Here is a 27,940-nt window from a genome sequence, read left to right on the forward strand (position 1 = left end):
TGAGGCACGAGAATCACTTGAACCTGGGAGGTGGAGGTTGCAGTGAGCTGAGATGGCACCACTGCACTCTACCTTGGGCAAAAAAGTGAGACTCTGTCTCAAAAAAAAAAAGTTTATAAGTTCTTTTCACAAGGGATTGAACCAGGCAACAACACAAATGTACATTAGCAGGAAAACAGAAAAAGAAACTATGGTAGGCCAGGCGCGGTGGCTCATGCCTGTAATCCCTGCACTTTGGGAGGCCAAGGCAGGTGGATCACCTGGGGTCAGGAGTTCAAGACTAGCCTGGCCAACATGATGAAACCCCATCTCTATTAAAAATACAAAAAATTAGCTGGGCGTGGTGGTGCACACCTGTAATCCCAGCAACTCAAGAGGCTGAGGCAGGAGAATCGCTTGAACCCGGGAGGTGGAAGTTGCAGTGAGCTGAGATCTCGCCACTGCACTTCAGCCTAGCCAACAAGAGCAAAACTCAGTCTCAAAATAAAAGAAACTATGGTATATTTATACAGTGGAATACTACTATGCAATAAAAAGAACAAATTACTGATACATGTTACAATATTGATGAAACTAAGAAATATGTTGAGTGAAGGAAGCCAGTATGAGTACACATCATATGATTTCATTTGTATGAAGTTCAAGGACAAACAAATGAGATCTAGGGTGATAAATCATAATAGTGATTGTGGGAGGGGGAGGGGTGGTGGGGGCATTATAGCTTGGTACTGACTGCAAAAGAGCATGAAAGAATTTTCTGAGGTAATGGAAGGTGTTCTTGATCTTGATCTGGTTGATAGTTAACTGAGTACATTCATTTGTCAAAATCATAAAGCTATACGCTTTTAATATCTGTGTACTTTACATGATATAAATTATATTTTATTAGAGTACTATCAGTATAAAATAAAGTAAGCCACCATTTATGAGGGGTAAACTTCATTATCTTGACTAAAGCTTTACATTAGAGGAGGTTTCTTTGTAAATTTGATCTTCGTTAGCACTTATTCAAGGCTGGTGTAATTGTATTTTATTTGCAAGATGTTAGAAAGTTATCAACAGACCAGGAAATTGTCAACATTTACAAGGACTCTCAGATTTGCTTTGGAATTAGAACAGTATGTTCCCTGTAAGATTTCACTTTCACTTTCAGTTCTAGATTCCTGGGTTTCTTTATACATAAAAATCTAAAAACTTACAGTGAAAAAGCATTAGGCTACAACTAAAGTTGTTACAACATTATGCGAAATTCCCTCCAGAGAAAAAATATTTTTAATAATAATTCCCCCAAGGGAAAAATACTTTTAAATTGATTATTTGATAATAGGATATTGAGAGCATACCGCTCTCAGGAATTGTCAGAGTTCTGAGCCAGGAATGGGATGAAAAACTCTGTCATTCATACCTTGCTCATACACTGACAGTAGAAAAAAACTGGAAAACCAAGAGGCCAAGTGTGGTGGCTCATGTCTATAATCCCAGCACTTTGGGAGGTCAAGGCAGATAGATGACTTGAGCCCAAGAGGCCAGCCAGGGCAACATCGCAAGGCTCTGTCTCTATAAAAAATACAAAAATTAGCCAAGCATGGTAGCCCGTGACTGTAGTCAGAACTACTCAGGAGGCTGAGATGGGAGGATTGATTGAGCCCAGTAGGTTGAGGTTATAGTGAGCTGAGATTGTGCCACCGCATTTCAGCCTGGGTGACATTTCAGCCTGAGAACAAGGCTCTGTCTCAAAAAAATAAAAATGAGAAAACAACAACAAAAAAACCACAAACAAACCTAGAAAACTGAAGATAGTAATGGCTATACAGTTTGTGTCTAGCTTTCACTTTCCTCAAAGGTTTCCTTGTGTATTTCTGTCGTGAAAAGAGTATTTGGAGCTTGGAATTCACTGGCTTGGAAGAAAATAAGAGTATTTGGAGAGAAAATATATTTAGGCTGTGCTTGCTTTGGCAGCACATATACTAAAATTGGAACCCTACCAAGAAGATTAGCATGCCCCCTGCACAAGGATAACAGCTGGATGTTGAAAGGAAAAGAGGAGTTTTTTTAATAAAGTATGTGAGATATACAAAGAGTTAGAAAGAAAATGCAAGGTAGGTTACACCATTAAAGATGTGGATGCAGGTTTAGAATAGAGAAAGCCCAAGTGGATAGTTTGGATAGATTGGCTCTATTTTTGTTAGTCAGTAAACAAAGGTTTACTGAGCACCTTTGAGCAGACACTCTACTAGTACTAGAATAATGCAGTGAACAAATATATACAGTGCTTGCCCATACACATTTATCTAGGGAAACCATTTTTTTTTTAATTGTGCAAAATGTTGCAAAGCAGACATGTTAATTTGCTTCCAACCTACTAGGCCTGACCCTAGCTCTCATGACCAGTTTGAAAAACGCGAGACTCAGTCAATTCAGGGATTTCTTAAGCCATGGTCTTTATTTATTTTTATTTATTTACTTTTTTGGCAATGGATTCTTGCTCTCTCTCCCAGGCTGGAGTGCAGTAGCGAGATCTCAGCTCACTGTAACCTCTGCCTCCCCGGGTTCAAGCAATTCTCCTGCCTCAGCCTCCCAAGTAGCTGGGATTACAGGCACCTGCCACCATGACCCGCTTATCTTTGTATTTTTAGTAGAAATGGGGTTTTGCCATGTTGACCAGGCTGGTCTCGAACTCCTGACCTCCGGTGATCCACACACCTCAGCCTCCCAAAGTGCTGGGATTACAGGTGTGAGCCAATGTGCCTGGCCAGCCATAGTTTTTAAACTGGGGTAAGTGTGCCCCTGGGTGTTTACAAAGACTTACCAACAGGGAGGTGGGAGCTCAAATAGTTTTAAGGAATTAATAGTCTCACTCTCAACTTCCATATGTAGCTTCTCCCAAAACTGATCTGCTTGAAAACAAGAACTGTGAAGGTTGCCAGGGTTGTTCTGTCTTCTCATCTCCCTTTTCACAATGGTTCTCTGTCTTCCCTTAAAAGACAGGCTCACCTCTCACCTATCATGAGTTTTAAAATCGTATATTTCTCTGGGTGTAGAAACCTCCTGGATGATTTGAAATAATCGATCTGTATTAGTGTTGAGAAAATGAATGACTCTAATATCTGGATATAGGGTTGCCAGGTAAAATACAGAACACCAAACTGAATCTAAATTTCAGATAACTAATGAATAACTTATTAGTATAGCTAGGTGCCAAATATTGCACAATACATTCTTATACTGGAAATGCATTCATTGTTTATATTAAACCAAAATTTAACTAGGTGTTCTCTGTTTTAATTTGCTAACTCTGTCAACTGTATCTGGATACCAAAAGTTCAGTGGTTTCTAAACCACCAATTTCAACAAAATTGAGTTGTCTACTGATAAGTAATTACATATTTTGATTAGAGATCACTAAATGATTTTTGGAATATAAAACATATTTTTTAAATTGTGAAAAAATTGCCATAATAATGTTTCTTCTGGGCCTATCTACTTATCTACTTACTTCTGTGAAATAAGGTTTACAACATTTATGTCTGTAGAAATGAAAAAAGGAACAGAATCTGTGCTGAACCCTAACATATTATAGCTATAGGTAATATTCATGACTGCACACTTGAAAAACTTGCTTAAAATACAAGCTGCCACCCCCTTAAATTGTATTTGTAATGCAGTTATTAACATTTACGATATTTTTATATTGTATTGACCAATTATGCTTTAAAAGTAATGAAAACAATATCAATGATAATGTAATCAAAGAGGATTTTTTTTTTTTTTTTTTGAGATGCAGTCTCACTCTGTTCCAGGGCTGGAGTGCAGTGGCACTGTCTTGACTCATTGCAACCTCTGCCTCCCAGGTTCAAGTGATTCTTGTGCCTCAGCCTCCCAAGTAGCTGGGACTACAGGCGTGCACCACCACACTTGGCTCATTTTTGTATTTTTGGGAGAGACCGGTTTCACCATGTTGGCCAGACTGGTCTTGAACTCCTGACCTCAGATGATCCACCCACCTTCGCCTCCCAAAGTGCTGGTATTATAGGCGTGAGCCACCATGCCTGGTCAAAGAGGAATTTTTTTTTTTTTTAACACTTAGATCCTTATGATCCCAGAGAAAAAAATAGATTTCAAGTTCTAATATGTATTTGTTTCAGAGATATGTGACAGAGAGATGATAAAAGATGTTCAGTACAAACATGTATTAACATTCTGTAGGGGAATTGGAATGTTCAATGACAAAAGGCAATGATAAAATATTTTCAGTTATTAAAGATGACCTGATAATTGCTTCATGGATGATCATGTATGTCAAATTACTATGGTATTAGGATCCATCAAATACATTTAAAAGAGTGCTCTATCAATTTTTTCTGAAAATATCTATGTTTACATTTTGTAGATTCTTGACATGTACAAGAGCTTTATGTTTTAATGTTAAGTTAAAAATGGGCAAGGGAATGCAGAGCTTTTCAAAATTCTTCTGGTGAGTACATAATCAAAAATGTGTAAGGCCTGCAAATTATTTTCAATAATCTCAGGAGTGAGTTGAAAATGGCTTAGAAAGTCTTGATTGAAGCAGACTCAAATGTGGATTAAAATCTCCATATGATAAATACACTTAGTCTTTCTGAAATAATTCCAACTGGAACTTCAGCTGCTATGGACAGCCAAGTCCACCTAAACAAGAGGATGCCTCAGCTCAGTCCAATTGCGTGCAGAATGCACTGGATGCTGTTTCCACAGAACGATGAAGTCTCCAATAATCTTTATGGGCTCTGTCTCTGGTTGGTAATTGTCTTTGATCTACTGGAAGATAGAAAATCAGATGAGCTCTCCAAATCCATCTGTTACCCTGGTACGGATGGCTCTCAGATAAAGTTGCTTAAATTTACTGCTTAGAGAACGTTGAGGGAAATATGGCAGTGCAATTAGACTCAAAGATGTCAGGTTTCCCTGAGAATGGCACTGCAACTCAGAAACCTGCCCTGTGAGATCAAAGGCTATAAAGGAGGGATTTTTTTAAGTAGCCAACTCCACCCTACTTATTAAAAAAAAAAAAAAAACAACTCACCAAACCAAACAAAAGTATTTCCATACAGAAAATTTACCAAGCCATTTCAATCTTTAAAATGGTAAAATAAACTGCAAAGGAGAACTGCATGATTTTTTTCACATACCCCTACATTTCCTTTCACCTCTTACTTTCTTGATCAGAACAAAAAGTAAAAATAAATAGAAATATTTCACAAAGTTTCGATTTTTTTTTTTTTAAATGCTGGACTTCTGCAGCTATAGTAGAAGATTGAAAAACCTAACCTTTTTACGTGTAAAGTGTATGGCGGATGGAGGGTGGAGAACAGGGCATATTGACCTTTTCCAGGCAGGCTAAGCAATGATCGTCCTCTCTATATGGGTTGTTATCAAGATTTCCTCTGACCCACGAGCAATGAAGCAAATGTCTTTCAGTAAATGCCGCGAAGATATGCCACGGTTAAGAGTCATGCTTTTGGGTCATGGAAATCCCCGAGTGGGTTTGCCAGGCCACTGATTAAGAGGAAGTGTGTGTGGTTATTACCGCTGGAGTTCCCCTAAGTCCTAAAAGGAAAGCACCAGTGCACATGCAAACCACTGGGAGGAGTGCGGAACGCCTGGTACAGATAGGGGTGGGGATTTGGGTGACGCATTTAAAAGACAGCGTGAGACTCGCGCCCTCCGGCACGGAAAAGGCCAGGCGACAGGTGTCGCTTGAAAAGACTGGGCTTGTCCTTGCTGGTGCATGCGTCGTCGGCCTCTGGGCAGCAGGTGGGCAAGGAAGGCTGGTGTGTGTGTGTGTGTGTGTGCGTGTGTGTGTGTGTATGTGTGCGCGCGCGCGCGCCTCCCCTGGTGTAAGAGATGTGCCAGCGGCTGGCCGAGGGGCGCTTAGGGCTAGAGCCCGGGGCGCTGCAGAGGTTGAGAGTCAGTGGGTGGGGCGCAGTTATCAAACACCAGGGCCCAAAAGCAGGCTCTAGATAGGTTCCAGGTGCTCAATTTCTATTTCACGTTTGGAGTGAGCCAGTGGAATTGTGAAGTTGTGGCATTTTGATTCGGTTGCCAAGAGTTATCACTGGGCCTTTGCAGGTGCCAAATAAATTTCAGGACAGAGCCTAAGGCAGAGCTCTGGCACAGGAAGGAAGTAAAACGTTTAATGAGCAAATGGACGCATGTTTCCAAGCGGTGGTAGGAAGACAGCAGTTTTTGGTTGTCTTCCTGGTGATCAGCATGGAAACCTAGTAGTGCTCTTACTCTGATCAATACATTGTCGAAGGCATGTACCTGATGCTAACGTAACAATAATATTAAATATTGACTTTATTTGCTATTATTTATTGCTAACATTAAGTACTGCTACCTGCTATGTGCTAGGTTTGTCTCTGAAGACTTTACATGTATTTTTCACGTTTAATTATCATAATCTTAAGAAGCAGGTACCATAATTATCTCCATTTGACAATGAGGAAACTGAGGCTCTTGGAGATTTACTTGTGCAAGGTCATGCTTCTGGTTACCGGACTGCTTGGTATTGGGCACCCCCGATGTCTGACTCCAAAGCCTGATACTAATCAATCACTGAGCTGACTCTGTGGTCATTAATATAAAATTGATAGAAGTACTGTGGTCACTCAGGTCTCAGTCATTTACTTCTTCAACGGGAAGTCTTCGTGTCTACCCCATATACCAAGCTCTGCAGATGCTATGAGTGGGAGGGCAGGTACAGAGATGAAACATATTAATAGTTGCCATTCTAAAAGAGCTTACTGTCTAGCGGGAGGCAGAAAGAAAAGGCACACTTGCCCTCCAGTGTCAGAAAAATGGATGTGCTGCATGCCCAAAGGGTAGGGATGCCCAACAGCCCTGGGACTGGGGAGGTTGCCTTCTTGGTAGGTTAAATGAATGAGTCAGAAGAGGAGAGGCTGGGGACTGAGCCAATCTGAGAAGGAACCACTAGAAATGAAAGAAGAATCCCAAGAGCTTGGTATCAGAGAAGCCCAGGGAATGGGACATTTCTAAGAGGAAGTGTGTCCCAGTGTCAGATGCAAACATTTCCATTGGTTTTAGCAAAAAAGCCATTGGTGTTATTAACACCGAAAGCAGTTTTAAGTGATGCTGACTTAATGAGTAAATGGGAGAGGGAAAATGGAGACATTAACCATACACACATGTCCAGTTTGCTTGGCTGTGAAGAGAAGGGGTGATACAGGGTAGTTGCTAGAGTGGAAAGTGTGGTTGAAAGAGGATTTTTTTTTTTTTTTTTTGAGACAGAGTCTCACTCTGTCACCCAGGCTGGAGTGCAGTGGTGCAGTCTCGGCTTACTGCAACCTCCACCTCCCGGGTTCAAGCGATTCTCCTGCCTCAGCCTCCTGAGCAGCTGGGACTACAGGTGCATGCCACCACACCCGGCTAATTTTTTGTATTTTTTTTAGTAGAGACGGGGTTTCACCGTGTTAGCCAGGATGGTCTCAGTCTCCTGACCTCGTGATCCACTCGCCTCAGCCTCCTGAAGTGCTGGGATTACAGGCATGAGCCACCACACCCGGCCGAAAGAGAATTTTAAAAATTTCTTTCATTTGAAAGTTGAGATAGATTTAAGCATGGTTATGTGAAAGGAAAAAGGCCAGTCGAGAGTGACAGGAATGAGAGTTGAAGCAATGAGGGGATGGGATTAAGAACAAGATTTCTGAGGCAGTAGGACAGTGTAGGATCCCATAAGGGGGCAAGTCTTTAACTGAGACAGCAAGTAGGTTGTGAGCCAAAACGGCTTGGATATGAGAACGTGAGAAGGTTCCTGCTCAATGATGTCTCTTTTCTTTGAGAAACAGAAGGCAAAGTAATTGACTGAAAATGAGATGGAGTGCAGTGGAGAAATTTGAGGAAGGTGTTGAAGGTTTAGAAGAGGTGCATAGGGCATGGGCTAGGGAGCTGAGCCTATTGCTAAGGGATGGCAGAGGAGTCTTAAGTGATGCTGGTCCCAGTCTGCAGGGTTGCATCTAGGTGTTGGAAATGATTAGGACAGAGGTTGAAGTGATCTAGGGTTGACATCTTGGCATATTTGTGTATATTTATTGTATAGTTGTTGCCTAAATTTCCACAAATATATGCCTTGCTGGAGTGCAGTGGTGTGATCTTGGCTTACTGCAACCTTCACCTCCCGGGTTCAAGTGATTCTCCTGCTTCAGTCTCCTGAGTAGCTGGAAATACAGGTGCGTGCCACCACGCCCGATGGTTTTTTTTTTTGGATTTTTAGTAGAGACAGGGTTTCACCATGTTGGCCAGCCTGGTCTCGAACTCCTGATCTCAAGTTATCTGCTTTCCTTGGCCTCCCAAAGTGCTGGGATTACAGGCGTGAGCCACCACGCCTGACCTAAAGCTTCTTTAGGATAAGATTTGTGTAAGGGGTTTGCAAACTCAAATGGAGGTGATATAAATGAGAAAAACTCTCAGTGTCTCTCTTTCTCTCTCTCTCTCTTTTTTTGAGACAGGGTCTTGCTCTGTCACCCAGTTTGGAGTGCAGTTATGCAGTCTCACACTGCAAGCTCTGCCTCATGGGCTCAAGTGAACCTCCTGCCTCAGCCTCTCAAGTAGCTGGGACCACAGGCAGGTGCCACCATGTCTGGCTAATTTTTGAGTTTCTTTGTAGAGATGGTGTTTTGCCAAGTCACCCAGTTTGAGGCTGGTCTCAAACACCTGGGCTCAAGCAATCCATCTACCTCAGCCTCCCAAAGTGCTGGGATTACAGGAGTGAGCCATGGCATGAGGCCTTGTGGGGTGTCTCTTTTAAATGAAAGCATACTCTGTTTACGTATTTGATATGAAGGAATATCCTTCCTTTCCACAAAGACAAAAATTATCCTATTTTTCTCAAAACATATGTCCTTTTTCTCTACTTTTCATTTTTGTTACTTTTGATGGACACATGTGTTACATTGATTTCACTTTCTCATAATTCTGCTGTAAGAAAAACAATAGTGCCAGTTCAATGACAAATAGCAACAGTCTGTTATTGCTAGACTGTTACTGTTAGTGGAGACTACCAGAACAGTCAGTCCCAGTGTCAGGGAATCAAAGAGAACATGTTCCCTCTCTAAAGGGCACAGCTGCTGCTCAGCTTTAGCTGATTGCTGCCCTGCAGGACTATAGGCCCAGTGTTGCTAGATCTTTTGATGTTTCAAGAGAAGCTTGGAATCTAGAATGTGATGGGAAGTCTCTTACATTTAAACATGTTGGCAATTAATGGTAAGATTTAAAAATACTGTGGTCCAAGAAAAAAATGGATTTGGAAACTGGATTAAATTCAAATGAGGCATGCAGATTAATCTACAGCATGGTACAATGTGAATTTTCTGGTTTCTTTAATTGCACTGTAATTAGGTAAGATGTTAGCTTTGGGGAAGCTAAGTGCAGAGTATGCAGAAACTATTATTTTTGTAAGCTTTCTCTAAGTATAAATAAATTTCAAAATAAAAATAAAAACTTAGTAAAGAACTATAATGCAATTCTATGTAAGCCAAACATAATATGTCTTCCAGTTTGAAACCTCTGGGTTTTATTTTATTTTATTTTATTTTTGAGACAGAGTCTTGCTGTGTCACCCAGGCTGGAGTGTAGTGGCACTATTTCGGCCCACTGCAACCTCCACCTCCCAGGCTCACATGATTCTCCTGCCTCAGCCTCCGGAGTAGCTGGGATTACAGGCGCGTACCACCACACCCAGCTAATTTTTGTATTTTTAGTAGAGATGGGGTTTCACCATTTTGGCCAGGCTGGTTTTGAACTCCTGACCTCAAGTGATCCACTTGTCTTGGCCTCCCAAAATGCTGGGATTACAGGCGTGAGCCACTGCACCAGGCAGAGGCCTCTGTTTTTTATCTCTTTTTGGCCTCTACAGTGCCTAGTAAAGCACCTGATACATGGTAAACGATCAGTAATTACTAGTACTCTATTTTGGAGAAAATGATTTTTTAAAAAGTCATTGTGTTCCATCCATGAGTCGTTTGAGTTTTAAAACTGTCTTTTTGTTTGTTTTTGAACAGGTTTACAAAGGAGGAAAACGACTTCTTCTAGATTTTTTTTTCAGTTTCTTCTATAAATCAAAACATCTCAAAATGGAGACCTAAAATCCTTAAAGGGACTTAGTCTAATCTCGGGAGGTAGTTTTGTGCATGGGTAAACAAATTAAGTATTAACTGGTGTTTTACTATCCAAAGAATGCTAATTTTATAAACATGATCGAGTTATATAAGGTATACCATAATGAGTTTGATTTTGAATTTGATTTGTGGAAATAAAGGAAAAGTGATTCTAGCTGGGGCATATTGTTAAAGCATTTTTTTCAGAGTTGGCCAGGCAGTCTCCTACTGGCACATTCTCCCATTATGTAGAATAGAAATAGTACCTGTGTTTGGGAAAGATTTTAAAATGAGTGACAGTTATTTGGAACAAAGAGCTAATAATCAATCCACTGCAAATTAAAGAAACATGCAGATGAAAGTTTTGACACATTAAAATACTTCTACAGTGACAAAGAAAAATCAAGAACAAAGCTTTTTGATATGTGCAACAAATTTAGAGGAAGTAAAAAGATAAATGTGATGATTGGTCAAGAAATTATCCAGTTATTTACAAGGCCACTGATATTTTAAACGTCCAAAAGTTTGTTTAAATGGGCTGTTACCGCTGAGAATGATGAGGATGAGAATGATGGTTGAAGGTTACATTTTAGGAAATGAAGAAACTTAGAAAATTAATATAAAGACAGTGATGAATACAAAGAAGATTTTTATAACAATGTGTAAAATTTTTGGCCAGGGAAAGGAATATTGAAGTTAGATACAATTACTTACCTTTGAGGGAAATAATTGTTGGTAATGAGATGTGATGTTTCTCCTGCCACCTGGAAACAAAGCATTGAAGTCTGCAGTTGAAAAGCCCAACGTCTGTGAGATCCAGGAAACCATGCTTGCAAACCACTGGTAAAAAAAAAAAAAAAAAAAAAAAAAAGCCACAGTGACTTGCTTATTGGTCATTGCTAGTATTATCGACTCAGAACCTCTTTACTAATGGCTAGTAAATCATAATTGAGAAATTCTGAATTTTGACAAGGTCTCTGCTGTTGAAATGGTAAATTTATTATTTTTTTTGTCATGATAAATTCTGGTTCAAGGTATGCTATCCATGAAATAATTTCTGACCAAAACTAAATTGATGCAATTTGATTATCCATCTTAGCCTACAGATGGCATCTGGTAACTTTTGACTGTTTTAAAAAATAAATCCACTATCAGAGTAGATTTGATGTTGGCTTCAGAAACATTTAGAAAAACAAAAGTTCAAAAATGTTTTCAGGAGGTGATAAGTTGAATAACTCTACAATGTTAGTTCTTTGAGGGGGACAAAAAATTTAAAATCTTTGAAAGGTCTTATTTTACAGCCATATCTAAATTATCTTAAGAAAATTTTTAACAAAGGGAATGAAATATATATCATGATTCTGTTTTTCCAAAAGTAACCTGAATATAGCAATGAAGTTCAGTTTTGTTATTGGTAGTTTGGGCAGAGTCTCTTTTTGCAGCACCTGTTGTCTACCATAATTACAGAGGACATTTCCATGTTCTAGCCAAGTATACTATTAGAATAAAAAAACTTAACATTGAGTTGCTTCAACAGCATGAAACTGAGTCCAAAAGACCAAATGAACAAACACATTAATCTCTGATTATTTATTTTAAATAGAATATTTAATTGTGTAAGATCTAATAGTATCATTATACTTAAGCAATCATATTCCTGATGATCTATGGGAAATAACTATTATTTAATTAATATTGAAACCAGGTTTTAAGATGTGTTAGCCAGTCCTGTTACTAGTAAATCTCTTTATTTGGAGAGAAATTTTAGATTGTTTTGTTCTCCTTATTAGAAGGATTGTAGAAAGAAAAAAATGACTAATTGGAGAAAAATTGGGGATATATCATATTTCACTGAATTCAAAATGTCTTCAGTTGTAAATCTTACCATTATTTTACGTACCTCTAAGAAATAAAAGTGCTTCTAATTAAAATATGATGTCATTAATTATGAAATACTTCTTGATAACAGAAGTTTTAAAATAGCCATCTTAGAATCAGTGAAATATGGTAATGTATTATTTTCCTCCTTTGAGTTAGGTCTTGTGCTTTTTTTTCCTGGCCACTAAATTTCACAATTTCCAAAAAGCAAAATAAACATATTCTGAATATTTTTGCTGTGAAACACTTGACAGCAGAGCTTTCCACCATGAAAAGAAGCTTCATGAGTCACACATTACATCTTTGGGTTGATTGAATGCCACTGAAACATTCTAGTAGCCTGGAGAAGTTGACCTACCTGTGGAGATGCCTGCCATTAAATGGCATCCTGATGGCTTAATACACATCACTCTTCTGTGAAGGGTTTTAATTTTCAACACAGCTTACTCTGTAGCATCATGTTTACATTGTATGTATAAAGATTATACAAAGGTGCAATTGTGTATTTCTTCCTTAAAATGTATCAGTATAGGATTTAGAATCTCCATGTTGAAACTCTAAATGCATAGAAATAAAAATAATAAAAAATTTTTCATTTTGGCTTTTCAGCCTAGTATTAAAACTGATAAAAGCAAAGCCATGCACAAAACTACCTCCCTAGAGAAAGGCTAGTCCCTTTTCTTCCCCATTCATTTCATTATGAACATAGTAGAAAACAGCATATTCTTATCAAATTTGATGAAAAGCGCCAACACGTTTGAACTGAAATACGACTTGTCATGTGAACTGTACCGAATGTCTACGTATTCCACTTTTCCTGCTGGGGTTCCTGTCTCAGAAAGGAGTCTTGCTCGTGCTGGTTTCTATTACACTGGTGTGAATGACAAGGTCAAATGCTTCTGTTGTGGCCTGATGCTGGATAACTGGAAAAGAGGAGACAGTCCTACTGAAAAGCATAAAAAGTTGTATCCTAGCTGCAGATTCGTTCAGAGTCTAAATTCCGTTAACAACTTGGAAGCTACCTCTCAGCCTACTTTTCCTTCTTCAGTAACAAATTCCACACACTCATTACTTCCGGGTACAGAAAACAGTGGATATTTCCGTGGCTCTTATTCAAACTCTCCATCAAATCCTGTAAACTCCAGAGCAAATCAAGATTTTTCTGCCTTGATGAGAAGTTCCTACCACTGTGCAATGAATAACGAAAATGCCAGATTACTTACTTTTCAGACATGGCCATTGACTTTTCTGTCGCCAACAGATCTGGCAAAAGCAGGCTTTTACTACATAGGACCTGGAGACAGAGTGGCTTGCTTTGCCTGTGGTGGAAAATTGAGCAATTGGGAACCGAAGGATAATGCTATGTCAGAACACCTGAGACATTTTCCCAAATGCCCATTTATAGAAAATCAGCTTCAAGACACTTCAAGATACACAGTTTCTAATCTGAGCATGCAGACACATGCAGCCCGCTTTAAAACATTCTTTAACTGGCCCTCTAGTGTTCTAGTTAATCCTGAGCAGCTTGCAAGTGCGGGTTTTTATTATGTGGGTAAGAAACTGAATCTGCTAATTAAAAAAAATATATTTCATTTTATACATTTTAGTGGGCAAATTATGTGTATTCATAAGTTTTGGTCTAAAATTAATTTTAGGTAACAGTGATGATGTCAAATGCTTTTGCTGTGATGGTGGACTCAGGTGTTGGGAATCTGGAGATGATCCATGGGTTCAACATGCCAAGTGGTTTCCAAGGTAATTGTTTTGAAATTCTCTTTGCAAATTCTTGTGATTATCATGAGATTGCTTATATGTGTTCACCTGAAATCAGTTGTTACTTTACTCTGTTCCAAATATATATTTGTGAATAAGTTTAGGATGGATTACTTAGTAAAATACTTACTTAAAAAGTTTCGATGGACTTAAGACAACGAAGAAATAGATTTGGGGATTTTTGTTTAATTTTTAAAGAAATATATATATATTTAAATAATACATGCTCATTATAAAAACAAAGTCACACATTGTAGAAAAGCACAGAGAAGGAAAATTAAAATGTCCAGAAATCTTACCGCCTAAGGATGAGCATGGTTACCACTTTAGTGAACATCCCTCCAGACATATAGAAATAAATGTATATGATACATATACATATAGAAATAAATACATATACATATAGAAATAAATGTACACCATTTTACATAAGTTAAATATTATATCTAGTTTTGAAGTTTTTTCAGTCAACATTTGTCTTGGATATATTTCCATTCATTCGGTATTCAATAATAATTGATCACCTATTGGCAGGCATTGTTCTGGGTGCATAAAATCAGTTGAACAAAACAAAGACCCCTGGTCTCCTAAGTTTTTATTATAGCACGAGAGAACAGACAACTAATAAAAACTTGAATAAGTTCTATAGCATGTTGGAAAATAAGTACAATCAATAAAAAGAACAAAGAGGAGTTTAGAAATGCCAGGCAGGTTACAATATTAAATTGGGTGGTCAGGGTAAGTATAGACTCATCTCATCTGTTTTAGTCGCCACGCAGCATTTTAATGTGATGTGTTACCCTTTTGATTGTTTAACTGGCCACCTAGTGTTCTAGTTAATCCTGATTAGCTTGCAAGTGTGGGTTTTTATCACGTGGGTAAGAAACTTAATGTACTAACTAAAATATCAGCTTCAAAAAGTTTTTTACACTCTCCTTTTTCATCTAAATCATGTGGCCTACAATTACATTTTTTCATGGTCAAAACTTTTGCTATTATTCAACCCGTTTCCCATTTGCCCTGAGAATACTGCACTGGCAACAAGCTGCACTGTTTTTTTTCTAAATGGGAAATGGGTTAATATCGATTAATAAATGTGGCATCTTAACTTATTTTGATTACTTTTTTTCCTCTTTTCTTTTGAGATGGAGCCTGGCTCTGTTGCCCAGATTGGAGTGCGATGGTGTGATGTCAGCTCACTGCAACCTCCGCCTCTTGGGTTCAGGCAATTCTCATGCCTCGAGCCTCGCTAGTAGCTGGGATTACAGGTGCACGCTAGCATGCCCAGCTAATTTTTGTATTTTTGTAGAGACAGGGTTTCACCATGTTGTCCAGGCTGGTCTCAAACTCCTGACCTCAGGACTTTGAGGTGCTTGCCCGGCCAACATCAGTGTGTTTTAAGAATCTTAGAAGAGTTGAAGAGAGTAGCTAAGAGCTCTGAGGAGAGATGGTCTTACTTGACCTCAGTAGACTGAGGGGCTCCTGACCCTTGTCCACTTGAGCCTTGGTAGATAACTAGTAATCACCTTCCTCTTGCTTATATCAACCTGCCTTTCACTGCAATATCTCTGACCATTCCCTATATGCTAAATGAATAGTAAATTGATTATATGTACATTTATACTCATTTGAAATATTTATACTTCACAATATATTAAGAGTAAATTGATTATATGTATGTTTATACTCACTTGAAATAGCCAGTCTACAAATGGCTGGATTAGTCCTGCCCAAATTAAGATAAACCTTTAGAACTTTTCAAAATTAGCTGAAGTGGTCGGGTGCAGTGGCTCATGCCTGTAATCGCAGCACTTTGGGAGGCTGAGGCAGGAGGATCACTTGAGGTCAGGAGTTCGAGACCAGTATGGCAACATGGTAAAGCCCCATCTCCACTAAAAATGCAAAAATTAGCCGGCCATGGTGGCAGGCACCTGCAAGCTCAGCTACTCGGGAGGCTGAGGCACCAGAATCACTTGAACCTGGGAGGCAGAGGTTACAGTGAACTGAGATCATCCCACTGCCCTCCAGCCTGGGTGACAGAGCGAGACTCTGTCTAAAAAAAAAAAAATTAGCAGAAGCATAATGTATCTTGGCAAATATAAAAATATTAATTTTGTAAAACATTCAACCTGTATGAAAAATGTTGACTGTCATGAGAAGCATCTTACAAAACAATTAAAAATTCACACAAAAAATTTGAATCCTGTCATAGGATAACTATGGGTTAGTTTTAGAAAAAAAGTTTTTTTTTTAAAAGCAATACAATAGAATCAGTTCCCAGTGGGCTAGGATGTATTTATTCTTCTAACATTAAGTTTAGAATAAATGATCTTAAATGATTCTGTGATTTGAGGCAAACAACCAGATTTGAAATGGAATAAACACCTAGAGATGAGAAATTTATGTTATTACATTTTCATTTCACTTGTATAAATAATCCCTCAAATTTTATTTTCTTTACATTTTAGGTGTGAGTACTTGATAAGAATTAAAGGACAGGAGTTCATCCGTCAAGTTCAAGCCAGTTACCCTCATCTACTTGAACAGGTAGGGCAAGTTCTTTTTTTAAATATTGGTTGCCATCAGAGAAATTGCTTTCTGATAATTACAGAGAGTGCTATTTGAGTGAAAAGACAAGAGTTGTTTTAGAAATACATTTTCTTTTTCTTATCAAACCTGACATGATTTTAGAAAGTATTATTCTTTGGAGAAAAATAGATCCATAAATGGTAGTCTCCTGATAATGACACTTGTGATGTTTTTCAAACAAGTTGCAATAAATCAAACTTCGAGAAAAAATGACTGGGATAGTAGTATTTAACAGTTTCACTATATAAATTTTCCTTCAAAAGATCTGAGAAAGAGAATTTTATTGCTTTTTCTAACCTTGAGAAAGCAAATAACTTACATAATAGTTTGATGGTCAAACCCATCCTAGCCATGAGCAATGAAACTGATACAGGGTCCAACTTATCCCAAAGGATGACCCAGGGTAGGTAAGACCTGTGGATGAAAGGAAAATTGATTGTCACATGGATTATGGAAAAGATATAGTCCGTTTCCTGCCTTAATGAAAATGGGTTTTGTTATTATATACACACACTGAAACTCTATTAGTTTATGGCCTAGGGAATAACTATCAAATATAAATGAAATATTGCTTTTGGTTAAAAAATTATTTTGCCAGTAAGCAAGTGGTTTGCAACAAGTTGAATAAAATATGTCTGTTGGGTCATTTTCATTGCAATGGGTAAGATAAGATTTCTATTTTAATTTATATATATATATATATATATATTTTTTTTTTCTGCAGCTGCTATCCACATCAGACAGCCCAGGAGATGAAAATGCAGAGTCATCAAGTAAGTACAATGGATAATAATGAATGCATTTAAATAGAGTCATTTGGTACTGTTAATATTGAAAGTTGATAATAGTAATGTACCTGTATATTGATTTATAATTTACGATGAATGCATTTTCAAATATACTGTGTTGGTATTTCCCAAACTTCAGTGCATATCAGAGTTGCCTGGAGAACTTTAAAAAATATGACAGATTTCCAGTTTCTACTTCAGACCTACTGAATTAAATCTGAGTATCTAAAGGTGGGGCTCAGGCATGTATAGTTTTAACAAACTACATACATCCAGCCTAACACTTGTTCTTGGGCCAGTGTGGGAGCAGATGTACTATGATATTAGATTGCTCACATATTCTTTCTGTGAAAGGGAAAGAATAGAACACGTTAGTCACCTTTTTAAATAGGGACGCTGAGGCTCAGAAAGGTTAAATGACTTGTACATCACCTTACACCTAAAATGCAACAGAGCTAATATTTGTACAAGCCCCTCTACTCCATTATCTCATGTTCAATTCAATTCAGTATATATTTATTGTATATTGTATATCGCCTGTTCTGAGGAAAGCATAGAGAACAGGATAGAGCCAACCCAAATGTCCATCAGTGATAGACTGGATTAAGAAAATGTGGCACATACACACCATGGAATACTATGCAGCCATAAAAAGGATGAGTTCATGTCCTTTATAGGGACATGGATGAAGCTGGAAACCATCATTCTGAGCAAACTATCACAAGAACAGAAAACCAAACACCGCATGTTCTCACTCATAGTTGGGAATTGAACAATGAGAACACTTGGACATAGGAAGGGGAACATCACACACAGGGCCTGTTGTGGGGTAGGGGGATGTGGGAGGGATAGCATTAGGAGATACACCTAATGTTAAATGACGAGTTAACGGGTGCAGCACACCAACATGGCACATGTATACATATGTAACAAACCTGCACATTATGCACATGTACCCTAGAACTTAAAGTAAAATAATTTAAAAAAAGGAAAAAAAGAATACAGAACAGGATAAACATAACTCCTGGTCTCATGTATCTACTGGAAACAGACAAATACACAGACAGGAGAAAGGGATATGGCAGCAAAAGTAAAGTGTAATATGAGAGTGCATATAGGACAATTAACCCAGACTTGGAGGGTCAGAAAAGGCTTTCCAAAGGAAGTACTTGTCTTAGCAGAAAATCCAAGGGAAGAGTAGGAGTTAACCGAGTGACAAATGGAAGAAAAGAGTATTCCAGGCAGAGGGAACAGCATATGAAAGACCGAAGTGACAAAGGAGAATAGGCACCTTTGAAGAACTGAACAAAATTCCATATGGCCAGAAGTAGGAGTTGCTAATAGATAAATCAGGGAAGCAGGCCAGCTGTATGAGTGGTCAGCACTACAGGCAGAATTGACACTAGAGCCATCAGTTTGTGACTTCTGGGCTAGAGTGCAGAATGTGAATGATTCAGTGGCAAGAGATGAGGCTGAAGAGGTAAACAAGGTTCAGATTGTATGAGACTTTGTAAGACACTTTATTTTGGATTTTATCCTAAGAGCAATGGAATTGTTGATGGAATTTAAGAAGTGTGACACATCATATTTGTGTTTTTAAAAAGTCACTCTGATTGCACTGTTGAGAATGAATTCCAAGGAAGCAATATTTTATAACCATAGCCTCTCTGAAAAATATGTGAATTATTCTTGATTGAAAACTCATTTGTTCATTCAACATAGGGAAAAATAATCTCAATTCTAGTGGGAGGTAATCCCTGCCATTCTGTTTCCTTCTCCTGCTCACATATGTATATCCAGTTATGACAGGTAATGTGTATTTTGCATCTAAGTACAATATTCCAAGTTGTTATTTAATGACTGAACGTGTATATCATTTTAAATTTAACAATGTTCATACAAAATAATGCCTATACATTTTGTTGGTTTTACATTTTTAATATTATAAAACCTTTCAATTTTTGATTTCATTTCAAATTTCAATTTTTAAGAAATATAAGGCTATCCTAATATGTGTTAAATTCTTTGTTCCATATAGTTATCCATTTTGAACCTGGAGAAGACCATTCAGAAGATGCAATCATGATGAATACTCCTGTGATTAATGCTGCCGTGGAAATGGGCTTTAGTAGAAGCCTGGTAAAACAGACAGTTCAGAGAAAAATCCTAGCAACTGGAGAGAATTATAGACTAGTCAATGATCTTGTGTTAGACTTACTCAATGCAGAAGATGAAATAAGGGAAGAGGAGAGAGAAAGAGCAACTGAGGAAAAAGAATCAAGTATGTAGATTTATTAATACAGTCTATTTTCATAAGGATTTGATATCAGTCTATATGTTATGAAAAATATACTCATCTAGCATATCTGAAAATATACTCAATCCAGTCAGGTTTTTTTCATGTTTAGTATTCTGAATTCAAATGCTGAAAAATTTATTCATATTCAAATATATTTGAGTTGCTCATAAGTCAAAAATGTATGATGTACAAAAGTATTTTTCATGTTTTTCCTTAATTCATATTTTTTTCTCTGGATAGCTGACGTTGTGTCCAATTATGCATTCATGGCACATTTTTTTTTTCTTAACGCTTTGAAAATGGAATCCTTGTTGCATCATGGCACATTTTTAATCCCAGGCTAGTTGCTCACTCCCCTTTGGAGTAAATCAGGGTGGGATCAGGGACAATTATTAATTTTTTTTTGAGACAGTCTTACTCTGTCACCCATGCTGGAGTGCAGTGGCATGATCTCAACTCACTGCAACTTCTGCCTCCTGGGTTCAAGCAATTCTCGTGCCTCCTTCCCTTAGCTGGGATTACAGGCACCTGCCACCATGCCAGGCTAATTTTTGTATTTTTAGTAGAGAAGGGATTTCTCCATGTTGGCCACACTGGTCTCAAACTCCTGACCTCAAGTGATCCGCCCGCCTCGGCCTCCCAAAGTGCTGGGATTACAGGCATGAGCCACCGTGCCTGGCTGGATGGTTATTAATTTTAATGTTAGCATAAAAGCATGTCTTAGCCTGTGACTATACATTAATACACAAATTACTATTAAGTCCCCTACCTGTCCACACAAGAACTGAGTCTTCCAGAGCATCCGTCGATTATTTAGGCAAGTCCTAGTATACTGTTTCACAATCTCTTAGGACAAGTTGTTCATGTCCTTCCATACTAAACGTATCCACTATGTTCTCTATTGCCCTTCACAAAAACTCTTCTGGGCACATACATTCTCATCTGGCTGTTTTGACTGCTATCATCATTCTGTCCTAGACAAAAAGAAATGCTGATCTCTCCTTTCCCAAGCATGGACCAGACCTATAAGTCCCTTCAACACAGCTGAAAACAGACTGCAACTTTTAACAAGCTCTTACTGGAGACTTAAGGAAAACGGAAGGGAATTATATCACAAATGTTGATTTACAGCTGCAACTAGCTGTGACCTCTCTTAGTGCCCCCGGGCTCATCCTCATAAATCTCCCCTGCCTAGCTTCTGGTTCATCTCTGTGTAGCTTTGGCAAGTTTACACAAGTCACTAGGAATGTCCCAATAATGTTTTCCTTTATCAAAATTCAGGCCCCCCCAATATTCATAAAGCTCAGAAGGAGAATAAAGATTTCTCCTTATCCTTGTGCAAGGCCATCTGGGATCTATTTCTTCACAGGATGATTGACAGTCAGATTGTCCACTTCATTTAGGGATAAATCCAACCCTGCCCATGAAGATGGATTTGTTCTCTGACCCAACCCAGACAAACCTATCAGACCATAGTGATATAGCATCATACATTCACCAAAGTGTGAATTACTCAGTCTATAAACCACTAGTGTAGCAGCAATACAGTCACGGTTAACCTTTGCCCAGCCTCATCAAATTCTCTTTTCTCTGTGAAGATTAGGCAAGCATGTCCTTCCTGTAGCCTTCTTAGTGGTAGCCATTTGTCATCAGCCAACAATTGCTCAAAGAAGAGAACACTTATCTCCACAACTGTTGAGAGACCCCATAAAATCTAAAACTATCCACTTATAAAATATTTATATTTCTTTCAAAGACAATCAGAAAAGTCTCCAGAAATGACTTCAAGTCAACAATATATAATAATTTACATTGTGAAAAAGAGCCCTTAGCGTTTCTGCCTCACCATTATATATATATCTCTACTACCTAGTATCGTGCCTGCATATAGTCTGTGTTGTGAGTGAGTGAATGAAAACACATTTAGGTTAATGATTACGTTATAGTTTCCCAAGAATAGTAGGGATATAAATAAAGAGGTAATTTAAGATTTTTTTTTTCCCAGAATAAAATAATAATATGGCTGAGTGTGGTGGCTCACACCTGTAATCACAGCACTTTGGGAGGCTGAGGCAGGCAGATCGCTTAAGCCCAGGAGTTCAAGACCAGGCTGGGCAACATAGCAAAACCCTGTCTGTATAAACAAATATAAAAATTAGCAGGGTGTGGTGGCATGTGTCTGTAGTCCCAGCTCTACTCAGGAGGCTGAGGTGGGAGGACCACTTGAGCCCAGGGAGGTTGAGGCTGCAATGAGCTATGATCATATGCCACTGCATTCCAGCCTGGGCAACAGAGTGAGACACTCTCTAAAAGAAAAAAAAAAAAGAAAGAAAGAAAAGCAAAAACAAAATTAATAATATGCTTCAAAGGCAACTACTCAGGAGGCTCAGGTACAAAAATAGCTTGAACCTGGGAGGCAGAGGTTGCAGTGAGCTGAGATCGCACCGCTGCACTCCAGCCTGGGTGACAGAGCAAGACTCTGTTTTAAAAATGAATAAATAAATAATAAAAGAAATTTTATGGAAGAATGATACTTTAAGAAAAAATTGTTTTAATTCAGGCTGAATGTGGTGACTCATGCCTGTAATCCTAACACCTTGGGAGGCTGAGGCAGGTGGATTGCTTGAGCCCAGGAGTTTGAGACCAGACTGGACAACGTGGCGAGACCCCATCACTACAAAAAATTTTTAAAACAAAGTATTTGTGATGGTGTATGCCTGGTAATCCCAGCTACTCAAGTCTTCTGAACTTGCAAACCAGAATATAGTCTACAACTTTGAAATGAGACTTTTTCTCAGTTACTAGCAATTAAATTTTAGAAATCTTAAGAACTTCAGAGAATGCATTATATTAGGTTACGTATAATTACAAAAATAAATCTTAGATTGAAAAACTAGTATACTTCAACACCAAGTTTGTATTTTTATTTTCTAATATATCCCTACTTTGCTAATAGAAATAATTTAACAAAATATATTAAGTTCTAAGTCTTCTACCCCTCTCACCATTACTTTTCATTCCTACTCTTTAAATTATAGAACTAAGGTTTGATTGTTCATTTGTTCAACAGATATTTATGGAGCATTAACTTTGTGCCAGACACTATTCTAGCTCCTGACCCTTTTCTCATTTATTCTCAGAGCTTCCATTATTTTCAAAATATGTCTTTAGCCTTGTCTTTTTGACTAAGCATCATCTTTATTTTCTGGTTGTTGTTTTTGATTTTTGCTGTTTTCTTTTTTCCATTTTTTATTCTTTCTTAAATGGTTCTTTTTATGAGTCCTATCACTTGACAAAGTCAGTGTATCTAAAATCTAACAATCCTCTCTCCCAAAACAATTCTTCAGATAGCTCAGCCTCTGTCATTAGTTATTTTTTAGAAACAGCTTTATGGATTATGGTAAGCTATATGAAAATTAATAAACTTAGATTCATAAGTTATATTCCAAAGAGATAATAAAACTGCAGTTTTAAAATATAAAATGTTTTACCAATGGATACAAAATCTAGGTCTTGAAGGAGAATTAGATGATATCTTGTAGGACGAGAAGGTAGTCGTTGACAAATAGGGTTTATTATTCAAAATGCTGTTACTGCCTTTCCCTGCTTACTATAAAATATTTAGGTAATGGCAATATGTCTAATTTCTGGAAATAATTAAAATTTCAACTTAAAATGGAATTTTAAAGAAATTTTATGGGCCGGACATAATGGCTCACACTTGTAATCCCAGCACTTTTGGAGGCCGGAGTGGGCGGATCACTCGAGGCCAGGAGTTCGAGACCAGGCTGGCCAACATGGTGAAACCTCATCTCTACTAAAACTACAAAAAATTAGCTGGATGTAGTGGCACATGCCTGTAATCCCAACTACTCAGGAGGCTCAGGCACAAAAATAGCTTTAACCTGGGAGGCAGAGGTTGCAGTGAGCTGAGATCGCACCACTGCACTCCAGCCTGGGCGACAGAGCAAGACTCTGTTTTAAAAATGAATAAATAAATAATAAAAGAAATTTTATGGAAGAATGACACTTTAAGAAAAAATTGTTTTAATTCTCTTGATTTTGTCTTTCCCCAATTTGACTAGATTGAATTGAAACGTCAATTTTAATGGGTTCTAAGTTCCATTTGGTTAAAGGCTTAGCAGTATTGCCAAATGATTGAAAGCACAGTACATGACACCAGACTACCTCAGTTTGATTTTTGCTAGTTGTGGTGTCCTTCGGCAACTTAATTGCCTCACTGCAGCTTCATTTTCTCATTTGTTAAATGAGGCTATTAGGACCTACCTCAAAGAGCTGTTGTGAAGATGAAATGAATCAATACATGTAAAGTTCTTAACACAGTGCTCACTAAATGTTAGTCCTTACTATAAGTAGCATTATTATTATTATTATTATATTTTTTTAAGACAGGGTATTGCTATGTTGCCCAGTCTGGTCTCTGACTCCAGGGCTCAAGTGATCCTCCTACCTCAGCCTCCCAAGTAGCTGGTGCTACAGGCATGTGCCACTGCACCCTGGATTATAATTATAATAACATTATTATTAAGCAAAGGAGATGAGACACCCCTAAACCTAGCAATCAACATCAATGCCTTACTGATTACGAATTAAAGATAGTTTTTATCCTGCTATATATATAGGACTGGAAGGAAGTTTGTGAGCAGAGTTTGAACATGTTTATGCTTGTTTTCTTTTTTATAAAGATGATTTATTATTAATCCGGAAGAATAGAATGGCACTTTTTCAACATTTGACTTGTGTAATTCCAATCCTGGATAGTCTACTAACTGCCGGAATTATTAATGAACAAGAACATGATGTTATTAAACAGAAGACACAGACGTCTTTACAAGCAAGAGAACTGATTGATACGATTTTAGTAAAAGGAAATATTGCAGCCACTGTATTCAGAAACTCTCTGCAAGAAGCTGAAGCTGTGTTATATGAGCATTTATTTGGTGAGTGATAGAAAATTATTTTTAAAAATTTTCTAAGTCAATTGAAAATACGCTCTTATTAATAATTTATGACTACTGAAAATAATTCAGGCTGAATGTGGTGACTCATGCCTGTAATCCTAACACCTTGGGAGGCTGAGGCAGGTGGATTGCTTGAGCCCAGGAGTTTGAGACCAGACTGGACAACGTGGCGAGACCCCATCACTACAAAAAATTTTTAAAACAAATTATTTGTGATGGTGTATGCCTGGTAATCCCAGCTACTCAAGAGGATGAGGTGGGAGGATGGCTTAAGCCTGAGAGATAGAGGCTCCCATGAGCTGTGATTGTGCCACTGCACTCCAGCTTGGGTGACAGACTCTGTCTCAAAAAAAAATCAATCTAATTTATAGATATTAGTTACATAAAAAGATTAAAGACTTCTGTTGCCTTGAAATGAGTATTTGGCTATAGTCTAAAGTGTTCATTTTTAAAATAGATTCCATAGCTAAATATTAACCTTATTTGTCATAGTAATGCTTTTTCTTTTTCTCCCTTAGTGCAACAGGACATAAAATATATTCCCACAGAAGATGTTTCAGGTAATAGTACTAATATTTTAAATCAATAGAGAACATTGTCTTTATTTTCTTAGTTTTTCACTGAAGAAGCAAACTGCCTTTTATTAAAAATTCTTTCCTCTTTCTAGATCTACCAGTGGAAGAACAATTGCGGAGACTACAAGAAGAAAGAACATGTAAAGTGTGTATGGACAAAGAAGTGTCCATAGTGTTTATTCCTTGTGGTCATCTAGTAGTATGCAAAGATTGTGCTCCTTCTTTAAGAAAGTGTCCTATTTGTAGGAGTACAATCAAGGGTACAGTTCGTACATTTCTTTCATGAAGAAGAACCAAAACATCGTCTAAACTTTAGAATTAATTTATTAAATGTATTATAACTTTAACTTTTATCCTAATTTGGTTTCCTTAAAATTTTTATTTATTTACAACTCAAAAAACATTGTTTTGTGTAACATATTTATATATGTATCTAAACCATATGAACATATATTTTTTAGAAACTAAGAGAATGATAGGCTTTTGTTCTTATGAACGAAAAAGAGGTAGCACTACAAACACAATATTCAATCAAAATTTCAGCATTATTGAAATTGTAAGTGAAGTAAAACTTAAGATATTTGAGTTAACCTTTAAGAATTTTAAATATTTTGGCATTGTACTAATACCGGGAACATGAAGCCAGGTGTGGTGGTATGTGCCTGTAGTCCCAGGCTGAGGCAAGAGAATTACTTGAGCCCAGGAGTTTGAATCCATCCTGGGCAGCATACTGAGACCCTGCCTTTAAAAACAAACAGAACAAAAACAAAACACCAGGGACACATTTCTCTGTCTTTTTTGATCAGTGTCCTATACATCGAAGGTGTGCATATATGTTGAATGACATTTTAGGGACATGGTGTTTTTATAAAGAATTCTGTGAGAAAAAATTTAATAAAGCAACAAAAATTACTCTTATTCTTCATTGCTTTATTTCAATGACATTGGATAGTTTAGTCACTCCCAGACTCTTTCCATACCTTCTTAAAGCCTCTCAAATATTGAACTACAGTTTATACTCCTTCCCATAAGATGCTTCTTCATTGACACTTGTAGAACACGGGGTCAACACATCATAAAATCTATTATGGAATGCCTGAGACAAGAATCAAACAGTCCCTTTAGTAAGTTTGTTTATTCACTTCTCTATTGATTCATTCAAGAAGTCTCATGCCAGCCCCACCTATTGGAAGAAGGTCTGAGTTTTATTCTTATCTCTTTGGTATTAATTCTGAAACTTAGAAAGTACACTGGTTAGCAATGCTTGGGACCAACAGGTTGTTCTGGTAAATAAATCTGTTTCATATTGTCAGTGCAACAAAATGTCCCCCTCTGCATTATGTTATTGGTACTCAACACGTCCGAGTCATAACTCTGTCCTTTGCTTCTTATAGAGGTATTAGGTCTTCAAGAGCAGAAGTAAGACTGTAATAGGGAATACTCAGGGGAAGGCAGGCAAAGGCTAGTCATCTAAACCAGTTCTAGATGTCTGTATAGGGGCAGATGGCTCTGTAAGGGCAGAAGGGAAAGACCCCTTCATAAGGGTCACAGCTGACAATCCTATAACAAAAGACAGGTTAACAAGAGAAAAACTTAACAAATTTATTTAATCACAGATTTACATCACCGGGGAGCCTTCGTAATGAAGATCCAAAATTACAGGGGAAACTGTGCATTTTTATGCTTAGGTTTGATAATGAATGGACAGCCCTGAAGAATAGTGATTGGAAAAAAAGGATATGATCTAATGGGAATAGACACAGGTTGGGGACCCAGCAAGGCCTGTCTGTTCAGATTATTCTTGGTCTCTGTGCAGCATTCCTTCCTCCTGGATATAGGGCAGGGCCTGTATGGGATGGGGATATTATAACCTGCTATCAAGCAAGGTAGGTCAGAGAATTTATTTATGGCCAGCTCTTACATAGTTAGGTGAGGAAAGATTAGAGTACTATCTTTAAGATGTAAGTCTGGCATTGTGGAAAGATGGTTCCAGTTTCTATGACCTACCTTGGGGAAGAGGAATTCAAGTTTCTGTGGCTTGCCTTCAGGGAGAATGAGGCTGAGACAGGAGGGCAGGATAACATCAGAGAAAAACTTTGCTTCTGAGGCCTTCACTTTGGGTTTTCTGAGCCCCAACATCTGCTAGTGTTGTAAAGAGAACAATTAGGGACCAAGTGAGGGGAGGAAAGAATCCATCTCTGCATTCTGATGCTGGGAGACTTATTTCCTTGAAATGCAATTGATTTTGCCTCTGCTAAGAGGCTCTGCTGGCTACCCATGTACTAGCCAGTGTCCTGCATGGGTGCTAGGCTGAATTATTTGTAATTGTGCTTAGGTGATTTGTAACTCAGGTATAGGGTATTTAAATAGTAGGCACCCTTTTTGCACCATGTGTTTTTTTTTTTATCTAGTTCTTGTATACTACAGATAATATTTGAACTTTGTCATCTCACTGTAAAACTTTTGTTCATTTCTCATTATGGTAATAAATAGCTATTATAACCAACCCATTTATTCAAATATGTTATTTCCCTAAGTGTTATTTTGACATTTTGTTTTGGAAAAAATAAATCACCATAGATAATAATGGTAGATCTATTTGCTGACCAAATGTCAGATGTTTTCAGGTGCTTGACATGCATTAATCCATTTGATTGCCTCCAACCCCACCTACCAGCCAACGTGGTCTTCAGTCATTGGGTTTAAACCTCAATATATTAAGTGTGATCATACAGGACTTTGCAGCAGGCTTAATTTCATACTTCAGCCATGCTCATTATAGCTTCCATTCCAACCTTTCTCTTAATTTCCTTATATCGCTTGATACCATTAGCCATTAAGTTCCTTTGTGGTCACAGGCAATGTGATTGAACCATATTCAGCTCCTATTGGAGAAGATGTC

At 37.8% G+C, this 27,940-nt stretch overlaps 1 protein-coding gene, 1 long non-coding RNA gene and 1 pseudogene across 3 annotated transcripts, besides 7 other annotated features; 2 read left to right on the forward strand and 1 right to left on the reverse strand.

Moving 5' to 3' along the window:
• Positions 1,944 to 2,051, forward strand: RNU6-952P (RNA, U6 small nuclear 952, pseudogene; annotated as a pseudogene).
• LOC124902739 (uncharacterized) lies at positions 4,117 to 5,465 on the reverse strand. The gene is made up of 2 exons (XR_007062864.1): positions 5,308 to 5,465; positions 4,117 to 4,794 (listed from the first exon to the last, which is right to left on the reverse strand). It is a non-coding gene; the product is annotated as an uncharacterized LOC124902739 (long non-coding RNA).
• Positions 5,153 to 6,352: an enhancer, noted in NCBI's record as "BRD4-independent group 4 enhancer chr11:102187662-102188861 (GRCh37/hg19 assembly coordinates)". NCBI's record gives its function as "activates an origin of replication core promoter dependent on BRD2, P300/CBP, MED14 and CDK7 cofactors, and independent of BRD4, by STARR-seq in HCT116 cells {active_cell/tissue: HCT116}" and the evidence as "EXISTENCE:reporter gene assay evidence [ECO:0000049][PMID:35650434]".
• Positions 5,257 to 5,326: an enhancer, noted in NCBI's record as "active region_5434". NCBI's record gives its function as "activates an Ori minimal core promoter by ATAC-STARR-seq in GM12878 lymphoblastoid cells {active_cell/tissue: GM12878}" and the evidence as "EXISTENCE:reporter gene assay evidence [ECO:0000049][PMID:35858748]".
• Positions 5,337 to 5,696: an enhancer, noted in NCBI's record as "active region_5435". NCBI's record gives its function as "activates an Ori minimal core promoter by ATAC-STARR-seq in GM12878 lymphoblastoid cells {active_cell/tissue: GM12878}" and the evidence as "EXISTENCE:reporter gene assay evidence [ECO:0000049][PMID:35858748]".
• On the forward strand, positions 5,706 to 27,625 carry BIRC3 (baculoviral IAP repeat containing 3). 2 transcript variants are annotated; one of them, NM_182962.3, is made up of 10 exons: positions 5,706 to 5,793; positions 10,059 to 10,122; positions 12,683 to 13,584; positions 13,688 to 13,787; positions 16,274 to 16,352; positions 17,119 to 17,167; positions 19,221 to 19,463; positions 24,188 to 24,442; positions 24,982 to 25,023; positions 25,131 to 27,625. In NM_182962.3, exons 3-10 carry the CDS (start codon positions 12,732 to 12,734, stop codon positions 25,322 to 25,324), a joined length of 1,815 nt encoding a protein of 604 aa, NP_892007.1. In that variant the 5' UTR covers positions 5,706 to 5,793; positions 10,059 to 10,122; positions 12,683 to 12,731; the 3' UTR covers positions 25,325 to 27,625. The 2 variants fall into 2 exon arrangements, with proteins under 2 accessions (NP_892007.1, NP_001156.1); NM_001165.5 differs by having other exon boundaries at positions 10,059 to 13,584.
• Positions 6,498 to 6,697: an enhancer, noted in NCBI's record as "active region_5436". NCBI's record gives its function as "activates an Ori minimal core promoter by ATAC-STARR-seq in GM12878 lymphoblastoid cells {active_cell/tissue: GM12878}" and the evidence as "EXISTENCE:reporter gene assay evidence [ECO:0000049][PMID:35858748]".
• Positions 6,958 to 7,007: an enhancer, noted in NCBI's record as "active region_5437". NCBI's record gives its function as "activates an Ori minimal core promoter by ATAC-STARR-seq in GM12878 lymphoblastoid cells {active_cell/tissue: GM12878}" and the evidence as "EXISTENCE:reporter gene assay evidence [ECO:0000049][PMID:35858748]".
• Positions 7,878 to 7,957: an enhancer, noted in NCBI's record as "active region_5438". NCBI's record gives its function as "activates an Ori minimal core promoter by ATAC-STARR-seq in GM12878 lymphoblastoid cells {active_cell/tissue: GM12878}" and the evidence as "EXISTENCE:reporter gene assay evidence [ECO:0000049][PMID:35858748]".
• Positions 8,579 to 8,688: an enhancer, noted in NCBI's record as "active region_5439". NCBI's record gives its function as "activates an Ori minimal core promoter by ATAC-STARR-seq in GM12878 lymphoblastoid cells {active_cell/tissue: GM12878}" and the evidence as "EXISTENCE:reporter gene assay evidence [ECO:0000049][PMID:35858748]".

The sequence above is a fragment of the Homo sapiens genome, chromosome 11, assembly GCF_000001405.40.
Source record: "Homo sapiens chromosome 11, GRCh38.p14 Primary Assembly".
NCBI lineage: Eukaryota > Metazoa > Chordata > Mammalia > Primates > Hominidae > Homo > Homo sapiens.

Bases quoted from the DNA above. Each gene is read 5' to 3' on its own strand.
- BIRC3 (NM_001165.5), top strand. From the start codon at position 12,732: ATGAACATAGTAGAAAACAGCATATTCTTATCAAATTTGATGAAAAGC. The intron at 13,788-16,273 runs GTAATTGTTTTG...TTTACATTTTAG, and splicing joins CATGCCAAGTGGTTTCCAAG to GTGTGAGTACTTGATAAGAA. The intron at 19,464-24,187 runs GTATGTAGATTT...TTTTTTATAAAG, and splicing joins AACTGAGGAAAAAGAATCAA to ATGATTTATTATTAATCCGG.